Below are 13,105 nucleotides of genomic sequence, written 5' to 3'. Positions count from 1 at the left end.
GATCATAGTTAAGTGACCATTTAAGGAAAAATGATCAGTTAAGATAAATTCTGCCTAAAGGTTATCAAAGGACAACTATGACAAAACGTGCCAGGGCGACACTTGGCTCAAGGCTAGTCTGTCATGTGACTTGCATAAAGAGGCACTTCGGTGCTTGGCTTCCATGATGAGCCTTCACTTCGCCCAGAGGGCAAAGAAGAAACATAATGAGACTTAATTGTACAATGGAAAAAGGCTATTGAAATGCTATTTATAACTTTATAAACACCTCAGGTATTAGCCAGAGACTCACACTGAAATTGACATCAAGAAAAGGTGTTGGGTAAATATGCAGCTCTAGGGAACATATCAAAGGACAGATATAGAAGGTACAGCCCAAACTCAGAAACCTCTCTTAACACAGCTCTCAACCCAACTCCTGACACCATGGCCAGCTGTTCCACCAGTGGGACCTGTGGCTCCAGCTGCTGCCAGCCAAGCTGCTGTGAAACTAGCTGCTGCCAGCCAAGCTGCTGCCAGACCAGCTCCTGCGGAACCGGCTGTGGCATTGGTGGTGGCATTGGCTATGGCCAGGAGGGCAGCGGTGGATCTGTGAGCACCCGTATCAGGTGGTGCCACCCAGATTGCCACGTGGAGGGCACCTGCCTGCCCCCCTGCTACCTGGTAAGCTGCACACCCCCATCCTGCTGCCAGCTGCACCACGCCGAGGCCTCCTGCTGCCGCCCGTCCTACTGTGGACAGTCCTGCTGCCGCCCAGCCTGCTGCTGCCACTGCTGTGAGCCCACCTGCTAAAAGCCAGGTTGCTGATCGCTTAAGAATGAAAGGGGAAGCACAGCAAAATTGTGCTGATTTCTGAAGAACTGTTCGATTTTACTTGGATGCTAAGTACCATGATGTTGTTAAGCTGCTCAGAGATAATGAAACTCCTAGTTAGGACACTGTGGATGTGCCGAATTCACTTACTGAAAGATGTATCAATCAGTGTTCTGGATAGCTTGCGTTGCTTGAGCAGAGGACCAGGATGGAATAGTTCATCATTTCAGTGACATCTCTGCTCCCCCAACTCTCTCTTGATGCTCATGCATCTTCAGACCTGGTTTTTCCTTGAATATCTCTGATTAATCCAAATAAAATGTTTTAATGTGCAAAGCAAACTGAGTTATGTCCTCCTTCTACCTTTAAACATGTCTTCTTGTAGCTGGTATTCAAGAGTGGATTTGCAATTTGATAATAATACCAAGGCATAACCATAAAGTCTAAACCAGAAAGATTAAATACAAAGTAAATTATGCTTGAATCCATCAGCTTAAAAATGCTCCATGAATTAAAGAATTTTTATAGTTCAAATATTTACATGCTCTAATCTATTATGATTAGGTCTAGACCAATAAAGGTTGACCTTTAGCTAAAATGTTAAGGTTGATCAAAGCTATTGATTTCTATCTAAATGTAATTCTACCATCTTTTGTCTCCTTCCATTTAATATACTAAATGTTCTCCTTCATTTATGCCCCAAAATCTAAAGAAATTGCATTACCTTCTAAATAGATTTAAAAATAGCTACTAGATACTACCTATTTTCCAAGAGAATTTAGGTTTAATTTCTACACCTTAGCCTTTCACATTCTTCCCACTGATCCTTGAATTGCTCTCTAAGCTTCAACTCCCACTATTCACCTTCATTTGATGTACGTATGCATAAGGTGTATCTTTGGTCTAAATGATAGTAGAAGAAACAGCTATAGAGAGCACCCGCTGAGTTCTACCATTGCCATTTGTCAGACAGAAGTGTTAGAAATCTGAAACAGCTCGATTATATTTTGCACTTTGCAACCCAACTTAAAAGATATTCTCTTAAGAAGTTAACACGCTGGACACGGTGGCTTACGCCTGTAATCCCAGCACTTTGGGAGGCTGAGATGGGTGGATCACGAGGTCAGGAGATTGAGACCATCCTGACTAATATGGTGAAACCCAGTCTTTACTAAAAATACAAAAAAAAAATTAGTCAGGTGTGGTCGTGGGTGCCTGCAGTCCCAGCTACTTGGGAGGCTGAGGCAGGAGTATGGCGTGAACCTGGGAGGCAGAGCTTGCAGTGAGCCAAGATCACGCCACTGCACTCCAGCCTGGGCAACAAGCAAGACTCTGTCTCAAAAAAAAAAATTAACACAACCTAGAACAAAACAAAACATATTTTACCATTTAATTTTTAAATTCTTCATTAGGCATTAGAGTGTAATACACAAAATACAATAGGATGCAAATATAGAAAGAAACACGTTTTCCACATTATTTACAAGCTCCCAGAACTTACCTCTATATTTAATTGGTAGCAATGATGGATTACACACAAAATTATGCAATTTCCAAGAGGAATAAAGTAGATGGCAGTACATTTTTCAAAGTGTCATAACTCCTAGATATTTTTTCCCGAGCCCGGTTCCACTACTAAATCCAAAAAATAAAATAAAATAAACCAAAAAACACATTTCCTAGTCTCTTTACAGCAAATAACAAGACTCTTTCATGAGAAGTACTACAGCTTGAAAGTTCTCTTTAATCATGTTTGAGTGGTATTGATATCCATGAATCAAGCCTTTTACTCCACCTATTCAATAAACATTTATTGAATCAGATTCAGTAAACATTTATTAAGGTTCTACCACAAACTAAGGACTCTGCTGGATACCTTCCTAAATACTATGTCAGTTTGGTTCCCAAGAACAGATTTCTGGTCTGGAACAGGAATAATAGTCACACATTCCAAATTGGTTGAAATCAAAGGAACTATAATCGGTAATTCAATAAGACATTGGAACAAAAAAAGGTGAAATCTGCGAATTATGTATGACCAAAGGTATTCCTTCAGTTCAGTAGATATCCAGATATCCAAAATTCAATAAAATTTAGTCTATATATCTAGGAGGAAAAAATAATAGTTAAATATAACAGCACAATTATTACTCTTAGCCTTAGAGGTATGGATAGATTGTCACGTGGAATAACTATTATGTAAAATGAGAGCATTCATTTGGACTAAAATGGAAGTACTCTTTGAACATGGGAAACCACAAACATATTCCAAAGAGCAAAGGACTGATATGAGGAGTCCAGAAGAAACTATAAAACAGTAATTTCTAAACTATTGCTCATAATGTGTCACAAGTATTTCAACATAAGCCAATCAGAGATCCACGGAGTAACAAATTTAAACAAAAACAAAGAAAATATGTTAACAATTTTGTAAACAGCAGCTGGTTCAGATATATAAAAGGACCAACGTGGAAGTCACCACCAAACCTCAGAAACTCCTCCAAGCAACCTAACTCTTAACCCAACTTCTGACACCATGACCTGCTGCCAGACCAGCTTCTGTGGATATCCCAGCTTCTCCATCAGTGGGACCTGTGGCTCCAGCTGCTGCCAGCCAAGCTGCTGTGAGACCAGCTGCTGCCAGCCACGCAGCTGCCAGACTAGCTTCTGCGGATTTCCCAGCTTCTCAACCAGTGGGACCTGCAGCTCCAGTTGCTGCCAGCCAAGCTGCTGTGAGACCAGCTGCTGCCAGCCAAGCTGCTGTGAGACCAGCTGCTGCCAGCCAAGCTGCTGCCAGATCAGCTCCTGCGGAACTGGCTGTGGCATTGGTGGTGGCATCAGCTATGGCCAGGAGGGCAGCAGTGGAGCTGTGAGCACCCGTATCAGGTGGTGCCGCCCAGACAGTCGTGTGGAGGGCACCTACCTACCCCCCTGCTGTGTGGTGAGCTGCACGCCCCCATCCTGCTGCCAACTGCACCATGCCCAGGCCTCCTGCTGCCGCCCGTCCTACTGTGGACAGTCCTGCTGCCGCCCAGTCTGCTGCTGTGAGCCCACTTGCTGAAAGCCAGTTTGCTTATTTTCAATTGCCTAGGTCACAGTGTCTCTGAACTGTTCATCCCTTGACCACCTCTGGACCACTAACAAGTTCTCAGACTTTGCATTGCTTGTGATGGAGACTACTAAGTATATGAGCTCACAATTCTATCTGATTCCATTCTACAATGAATACCTTGACCCTTCACTGGGGACACAGAAATGCTACAAAGCCACCTGCTGATCATCAATTTGCTTGGGATATACTATTTCTGATATTTCTGCAGGATTAAAAATTACTGACATGTTGTGGAATTTATCCATGAGAACTATCCACAAGTCTAATGTTTCCATGCTTTATAATCTATTTTATCTTGTTTACCTAAAATTTTTTGCAACATCAAAGACACCAAATTATAGCCAAGTGACATTCCTCAAGTCACCAGAGAGAATGGAAGCTCATCACCCAACATTCAGCTTCTAAGAAGTAGGCTGGACTTTCCACATTTTAACATCTGATCCATCCCTTGGTTTTTGGATCATAATGATCTTGCCTGCTGGATATTTCAGTTATATCTGTGATACAATGTCTTCTGTCATTTCTTAATAAATATTATATACTAGGCAAAGAAACCATTGTCTTTGTTTTCACTTGTACATCACCTGGTTTAACTGCTTATAATTCAAGAATGTCTACTTGAGGCCAAGAGCAGTGGTTCACACCTGTAATCCTAGCATTTTGGGAGGCTGAGGTGAGTGGATTACCTGAGCTCACGAGTTTGAGACCAGCCTGGGCAACATGGTGAAACCCTGTCTCTACTAAAAATACAAAAAAAAAAAAAAAAAATTAGCTGGGCGTGGTAGTGCACACCTGTAGTCCCAGCTACTTGGGAGGCTGAGGAAGGAGAATCGCTTGAACCCAGGAGGCAGAGGTTTCAGTGAGCTAAGATCATGCTACTGCACTCCATTACACTATGCAATAAACTGCAGCAAGCTCTCAAAATGGCAATTTCCTATATATGACACCAAAGAAGACATAAAGTGCATTAAAAAGTTAAGTAATGGTAAAAAGACACATATTTCCAAGTCGAAAGCAAATGTGGGAGCTTTTCTTTTATTGAGGATCATTGGCCATGTAAGGGTAGGTGGACAACGAAAGGGATGAAGCAAGATGAATTAAGGTATCGAAGGATGGAGACAAGAATGAAAAGGGGGAGAAGAGAACAAAATATAGGAGAAAAGACAGAGAGAAGACACAGTGAAAAAGGCTAGGTATGAGAGGCTGAAAGAAAAGGAGGAAGAGTGATGGAGAAGACACACCTGAAGGGAAAGGAGGTGAACCAGCGTGGCCTTGTTAGTACCATATGCTGTGCATGTGCCAGGTACACATCATGCGAACTTTGCTTCACATAACATCTATACTGATCCTGTGAAATAGATATTGTGATCCTGGCTTGTAGATAAGTAAGTCTAAAAGAAGTTAAATAGCTTGCTTACAGTCACATAGCTCATAAGTTTAGAAACAAAACTGAAATCTGAATGCAACTCTGTCTGACTCCAAAATTTATGGAGAGAATGAAATTAAGAAAATAGATATAAAGAAACGTGTGGGAAAGTTTGTAAGATTTAAAGACGGCTATTTCAGAGACTGTGGGCTTCAGAATAAGTTACTCTGTGCTGCTGGTTAAGTTGTGGTCTCAGAACTCCACATCCTCCCTACGATACTCAGCTTTATGATGTTAGTGATGAAATCTGCAAGCCACATTGTTGCTTTTCCAGCTCTCCATATTAGGCCTTGCTCCAGCCAGCCAGCACCCCATCCTCAGAATTCTGAGTCAGGTCCACTGGGACTATCCTCCAAGTTCAGAGCCATCAGAATATGTCAAGAAAAAATATGACTGTCAGTTCTGCAGGACCCAGCCTCTAAACTTACACATTTTAATAACTCCTAACTCTTCCTTGTTCCTTCAACCCTAGGGTCAGTAGCTGCTTCCTGTAGTTGCTACTTCCGTGTTCAAATAATTGGCATGGATTTTGTCTCCTCACTAGATGCTGACTGATAGAAAAGTTGTTACCAGGAGTGGCCCTGGAAAGTAGACCTTCATAGATGGGACTTGGGGATTGCTTTGGTAAAGTCCCTGAGCTTGAACCCAGTGTTAAACTCCTTGCCAATAAAAAATGAAATGCATTGCATGCAATAACATCACCATTATTACTTTTGTTGTTTAAATAAAGCACCTATTGAAATAAGTGGCTTGGGGGCTCAAGTTGCTGCTGCTCTTGACTATTAAGACAGTCATGATGATTATAAGCATTGTTGTGGAGGATGTCTTCTGAGTGTACTGTGTGCTTTCAGAAAGAAAAATGGCAAATTCAAGACCTTAATATCTCAGGTCAGGTCATAATCAGAGATACAGAAAAGATTCAGCAGCAGCCCTAAAATAATAACTTGTTTGTTATAGCCACAGGACTGATACTGCCCCATATTAAACACTAACTAAATTTAATTGTGTGAGTTGCATAATTGAAAGTTAAGCTGAATTCACAGCTTCAACAAGACTGTCATGTGAAAGTTAGGGAATTGATAAAGAAGAAGTTTTAGAATTGAAACCTGGCATAAGGATTTCTGTCTGAACTCAAAGGGGACTGAAGATCTTGAATCTCCAAGTCATTCTGAGCCTCCTCTACCAGTAAAAATAGATTTCCCTCCTGAGTCTGATGAGAACAGCTGTCCACTGCTGGAAAATCCTCTAATAACCTCACTTGGGAAATGTACTTATATGGAATGCCTATTGTGCTGAATAGCCACCATAACTATAAATTTTTCCTACTAGTCCTGTATTTCTGATCACATTTCAGATGCTCCATAGGGCAAATACAATGTATGATCCAGGAAAAATAGCTCATACATGAAAAAACATGCAATAGGCCAAAATCCAGAATACTGACAACACCAAATGCTGACAAGAATATGGAGCAACAGGAGTTCTCATTCATTGCTGGTGGGAATGGAAAATGGTACAGCCACTTTGGAAGACAGTTTGATGTTTTCTTACAAAACTAAACATATTCTTACCATACAATCTGGCAAGCATACAACTTGGTATATACCTTAAAAAGTTGAAAACATATGTCCACTCAAAAACCTGCATATGGATGTTTAAAGTAGCTTTATACATAATTGCCCAAACTTGAAAACAATCAAGATGCCCTTCAGTAGGAGAATGGATAAACTGTGGTACATCCAGACAATGAAATACTATTTAGTACTGAAAAGAAATGAGTTATCAAGTCATGAAAAGACATAGATGAGATTTAAATGCATATGACTAAATGAAAGAAGCCATTTGAAAAGGCTAAATACTGTATGACTCCAAGTATATGACATTCTGAAAAAAGTAAAACTATGGAGACTAAAAAAATGAGTGGTTGCCAGGGGTTGGGGTAAAAGGGGTGGAATAGGAACAACAAAAAAAGGATTTTAGCGCAGTGGAACTATTCTGTATGATACTATAAGGTGGGTACAAATTATGTATTTATCCAAACCCATAAAATGAACAACAACAAAAGTGAACCCAAATGAAAACTATGGACTCTGGGTGATTATGTGTCAATGTAGATTTATCAGTTGTAAAAAATGTATCACTCTAGTGGGGGATGCTGATAATGGGGGAAGCTACACATGTGTGAAAACAGGGTATATAGGAAACCTGTGTGCTCGATTTTGCTGTGAACTCAAAACTACTCTGGAAATAAAGTGTATTTTTAAAAAACATTATTGTATTATTATATATTAGCAGAAACCTGAGGAATATGTGTAAGTGTATTTTTGGGGTAGTAAACCAAAGAAGATGGAATATGACACTCTTATAGTCTCACTTGGGGAAGTTGCTTATATGGAATGCCTAAATGACGTGGTTACACTTAAAGATTCTGGATGTAAATTTTTTGTACAAAGAATTATTTGATTTGTTTGTTTAAACTTGAAATCAACCATGGCCTATGTTTACTGATGCTCAGATGTCAGGACTTTTTTGACATAACATAAAGGAAAGGAATCAAAGACTTAAGGAGATAGGAATTTTGGAGAAGATTTATCATGTTACACTGCACACATACGCAGCACCAAGTAACTTCCCAAAAGTCCCAGAGAAAACTGCCTTCACTCAAGGATTTTATATTCATGGGGGACTCTTGCAGTAGCCTAGATATGATGGTGGAGATACTCCCTCTCCTTGATTTCAGTAGAGATAATAGGATCTCAGAGCACTGGAAGCTAAGTCACAAAACTTGACTACCAAAGTAAAAGTAAGTGCAGTTGGCCTGTTTGAATTACATGGGTCCACTTACACGCAGATTTTTTTCAACCAAACACTGATTGAAATACAGTATTCTCAAGATGCAAAACTTGCATATATGGAGGGCCAACTTTTCATAAACACTCCACAGGGCTGAGCGTGAGACTTGAATATGTGCAGATTTTGTATATGCAGGAGGCCTGGAACCAATCCCCCCCACCCAGTACACTGAGAGACAACTGTACATTCACTGTAAAGAGAAACAGAGATATAGTGGTAGCCAGAATGCTTTGACCCACAGGGATCTGTCAGTAGATAGTTTATTATGGTATCCTTGGAATGAAATTAAGGGGAAGCCTATTAAAATGTTGGTTGATATCTATACTCAGATATTCAGGGGATTGTATTAGTTTCCAAATGCTCCTCTAACAAATTACCATAAAATTGGCAACCTAAAACAACACAAATGTATTATCTCACAGATTTTGTGGGTCAGGAGTACAGCAGGGCATGGTGAGATTCTTTGCTCTTGGTCTTACAGGAATAAAACCAAAGTATCAGCTGGTCCTCATCTGAGGCTCAGTCTTCTTCCAGGAATTGTTTTGTTGGCAGGATTCATTTCTTTCTCATGTTTTCATATAGTCCCCTCCATCTTCAAACCAGCAGTGGTAGGTCAAGTTCATGTTATACTTTGAATCTCTGATTTCCTACCCTACCCCCACTTCCCTCTCCAATATCCTCTTCTGCTGTCAGCTGGGAAAAAAATGTTCCGCTTTTAACGGCACATATAATTACACTGGACACACCTGGATAATTCAGGCTATTGTCACTATCTTGAAGTCCACTGATTAGTAACCTTAATTACATTTGAAATGTCCCTTTTGTTATGTAGCAGACATGCTACATAACATCCCCAAGTCCCATCTATGAAGGTCTACTTTCCAGGACCACTCCTGGTAACAACTTTTCTATCAGTCAGCATCTAGTGAGGAGACAAAATCCATGCCAATTATTTGAACATGGAAGTAGCAACTACAGGAAGCAGCTACTGACCCTAGGGTTGAAGGTACATGACCTTGGGTCATGACACAAGGGCTCAGAGGCCTTGGAGGCTGAAATTCTGCCAATCACAGGAACTATTAGACACTAAGTTGACACTAATTTCTAGAGACCCAAATGCCACTGGTCCTCCAAAAAAAAGTGGTGACTTTTGGTGGCCAGATGATAGTTAGAATCTTGGTCTACGTTTGAATCACAGTGGACCCAGTGGGCCTGCAGGACAATTCCCCAATTTGTGAATGTATAATTGGAATAATCATGTTTGACAACTGGCAGAATCCCCACATTGGCACTGAGGAATAAAGCTCATTTGGTAAAAAAGGGCCAAGTTGAAGCCCCCAGAAGTTTCCTTGATACAAGAATAGTAAATAAAAAATAATACTATATTGATGGGAAAATTTTGAAGATGGGTGCCATTATCAGAGACTTGGAAAAAGCTGGGTTGTGATACCTACCATCTCCCCATTGAGCTTGTTTATCCCGTAGACAAAGCAGATAAACCCTGGAGTATAACAGAACAATTATGTATTATTATTTTAAATGAATTCAGGTGATGACCTCAACTGGAGATGATGTCCCAAATGTTGTATCTTGAATGGAGCAAATTAAGACAGCCCCTGGCACCTGGTATGCAGCTATTGACAAGAAAATGCATTTTTCTCTGTATCAGGGCAGCCAGAAGTACTTTTCTTTGACCTGGCATGGCCAACAGTAACCTTCCAAGCATTGCCTCAGGGCTATGTCAACTATCCTGCTCTCTGTCCTAATATACTCATGCTATTAATCATCTTGACTTTCCATACAACATCATAACAGTCCACTACATCAATGACATCTTGCTGGTGACATTTGATGAGCAGGAAGTAACAAGTACCTTAGAGGACTTGGTAAAACATTAATGAACTCCAGGGCAAGAAACAAACTCTACAAAAATTAAAAAGCTCACAGCCTCAATGAAGTTTCTTGAAGTCAAATTGTCTGGAACACACTGACATATCCTTTCCAAGGTGAAAGAAAAACTGCTGTATTTTAAGCTAACTTCAGCTAAAAAGGCACAACTCTTGGTGGGCATTTTTGTATTTTGGGGTCAACATATGCCATATTTGAGTGTGTTATTTCAACCCACTTAATGAATAACTCAAAATGCTGCTAGGTTTTAGGGCAAGAGCAAGAGAAGGCTCTAAAGAAAAGTCCCAGCTATGGGCGTGGTGGCACGCACCTGTAATCCCAGCTACTTGAGAGGCTGAGGCAGGAGAATTGCTTGAACCTGGGAGACAGAGCTTGCAGTGAGCCCGGATCACGCCACTGCACTCCAGCCTGGGTGACAGAGCAAGACTCCATAAAAAAAAAAAAAAAAAAAAAAGAAGAAGAAGAAAGAAAGAAAAGTCCCAGCTATAATTCAAGCTGCTATTTCATTTGAGCCTTATAATCCAGCACATCCAACCATATTTGAAGTGTCTATGGAAAACACACGCTCACCGTATATAGCCTCTGGCAAGCATCAATAGAAGAATTACAGGTCAGACTTATAAGGTTTTGGAGAAAATCCATGCCCTCCTCTGAAAATAACTACTGTCCTTTTGATAAACTACTTCCGGCTTGCTAGTGGGCAAGAACTGGAAAAAATGGAATGACTGTGCAACCTGAGCTTCTCATGCTTAGCTGGGTGTTATCTACCCACCAAACTATAAGGCTGGATGTGCACAGGAGCAATCTATTAAGGCAGGGGCCCCCAACCCCTGGGCAGTGGACCGGTACCAGTTGTGGCCTATTAGGAACCAGGCAGCACAGCAGGAGGTGAGCCACTGGCCAGAAGCATTACTGCTTGAGCTCTGTCTCCTGTCAGATCAGCTGTGGCATTAGATTCTCATAGAAGCGCAAACCCTATTGTGAACCGCGCATGTGATGGATCTAGGTTGTGGGCTCCTTATGAGACTCTAATGCCTGATGATCTGTCACTATCTCCTATCACTCGCAGGTGGGACCATCTAGTTGCAGGAAAACAAGCTCAGGGCTCCCATTGATTCTACATTATGGTGAGTTGTATAATTATTACATTATATATTACACTATAATAATAATAGAAATAAGGTGCACAATAAATGTAATGCCCTTGAATCATCCTGAACCATCCTACCCACCTCCCTGGTCCATGGAAAAATTGTCTTCCATGAAGCCAGTCCCTCGTGCCAAAAAGGTTGGGGGCTACTGCCGTATGTTATACCCCAAGCTAAGTAAGCTTCATATTAACCTAATTTCATTGAATACTTACATCAATCCTGTAAAATAGATACTGTTACCTTACCTTTGTAGATGAGGAAATCAAACCTAAAGGCGGTTCAATAGTTTATTCATAAGTAAAAAACAGAAATACAAACCCAACTCTGACCCCAAAATTCATGATGAGACCATGAAGTTAAGGAATTGGAAGTAAAGATTGGTGTTGGGAGATTCAGTAGATCCAAGGATATCTCCTTGGGCAGCTGTGGGCTTCAGAATAAGTTCCTCTTTGTGCCCATTATGTTCCTATTTCTCGGCTTCAAGGCCTCCCTTCTGTACTCTGCAAAACACACTGTGGCTTTGACCGCAGTTCTGTTAGGCTTTTCTACTAGGGGGTGACAGAGGAAAACTGCAAAGCTGGAATAGGAAGGCAGGATTTGTTCCTTCCTTCTGCTCCATTTGGGACTTCCTGTATGCTAAGCAGATCCCAGGATAATCGCCCCAAGTCACACTTCTCACTCCAGCAGGTGCAGATCCTGCCCATGGCAGCACACGAATTCAGTTTGCAGTTTTCTCAACACTTGAAGAACCAGCTTCATTGTCTCCTTTCCAGGGTCACCAGGACCAACCAGTCCTCTCTTAAAACAACAGTTTCAGCGCTACAGGACATCTCCCTCTCTAAGGTTTAATTCCTTGCCTCCTGCATTTAAAGCTAGGCCTTTAAAGCTTCCCTGGAAAACTAGGGCTTTCTGCAGTTTCCACATTTGTGGTATTTTAGGGTCCTCTTTTTTTACCTAGTGAACAGCTTAAAAATTATTCTTATGAATTTTATTCAATAGAAAAAGAAAGGGTTTGGTTCTCATCTTCTGCGGGACCCTAACTGTTATACTCTTACTGCCTTTGAAAAATTAGATTATTTAGTGAGCCATTTGTACAGAATGTTCACTTACTCCCTTTCATTAATCACCATAGTGGATTATGAGAAAAAAATTATATCTGAGCTTTGGAGATGGCAGTCAGAGAATTACAGCATTTTAGACCTGTTAGAATCCAATTGAGAAACTAGAAAGATTACTCAACAACATTAAGCTCTGTAGTTAAGAAAGTTCCACCTTTTCTATCAAAGGCCTTCCATGAAAAGTGGGATGTGCCCAGAGACCTGACTGCAGACGGCCCTTTGTTAATGACTGACTTATCCCCAGAATCATAACTCTGACTTAAGAAACCTATTCTCCATCATGATTATTCTGTTAAGTGCGATTAGACAGAATTAGTTTTAAAAGCTCAAAGACACAAAGGGATGTTGAGAAACTTGAAGGGAGAAAATGTTGAATCATCACATCAACTAAAGCATGAAAGCCTTGGGTAAGACCGGAGATTTGAGAGTTTAGTAAAATTGTTTTGTGAGGTTGAGAGAGACTAATCCAAAGCACCAACTATTATGAGCCTATGTTGGGCCTATTCATTTCTAAGCACGTTCTCTTTTTTCTTCTTTGTTCTTGCATTACAAATATGGGATAGAGAAACAGGAGTGGTAGAATACACAACATGAAAATCAAAATTCCTGGCTTTTAATGGGTTAATATTTAACATACAAAATTTCGACTTTTATTTTCTCAATTTTTTAATATCTTATTTATTTTAGTTGCATGAATGAAACAAACGAGATATTTTCCCAAAAG

General features: G+C 40.6%; 2 protein-coding genes across 2 annotated transcripts, besides 1 other annotated feature; both read left to right on the top strand.

Annotated features, from left to right (window-relative positions):
• Positions 1 to 309: 309 nt before the first annotated feature.
• KRTAP1-4 (keratin associated protein 1-4) lies at positions 310 to 1,154 on the top strand. The gene has a single exon (NM_001257305.2). It carries the CDS (start codon positions 427 to 429, stop codon positions 790 to 792), a length of 366 nt encoding a protein of 121 aa, NP_001244234.1. The 5' UTR covers positions 310 to 426; the 3' UTR covers positions 793 to 1,154.
• Positions 671 to 1,220: an enhancer, noted in NCBI's record as "H3K27ac-H3K4me1 hESC enhancer chr17:39185537-39186086 (GRCh37/hg19 assembly coordinates)". NCBI's record gives its function as "activates a minimal SCP1, AML or CMV promoter by ChIP-STARR-seq in primed H9 embryonic stem cells {active_cell/tissue: H9 hESC(primed)}" and the evidence as "EXISTENCE:reporter gene assay evidence [ECO:0000049][PMID:30033119]".
• On the top strand, positions 3,297 to 4,479 carry KRTAP1-5 (keratin associated protein 1-5). The gene has a single exon (NM_031957.2). It carries the CDS (start codon positions 3,350 to 3,352, stop codon positions 3,872 to 3,874), a length of 525 nt encoding a protein of 174 aa, NP_114163.1. The 5' UTR covers positions 3,297 to 3,349; the 3' UTR covers positions 3,875 to 4,479.
• The last annotated feature ends 8,626 nt before the right edge of the window (positions 4,480 to 13,105 follow it).

Source organism: Homo sapiens, chromosome 17 (genome assembly GCF_000001405.40).
Source record: "Homo sapiens chromosome 17, GRCh38.p14 Primary Assembly".
In the NCBI taxonomy this organism is placed as follows: Eukaryota; Metazoa; Chordata; class Mammalia; order Primates; family Hominidae; genus Homo; species Homo sapiens.
The sequence above is the reverse complement of the archived record's forward strand: the minus strand, read 5'-3'. Positions and strand labels throughout refer to the sequence as shown.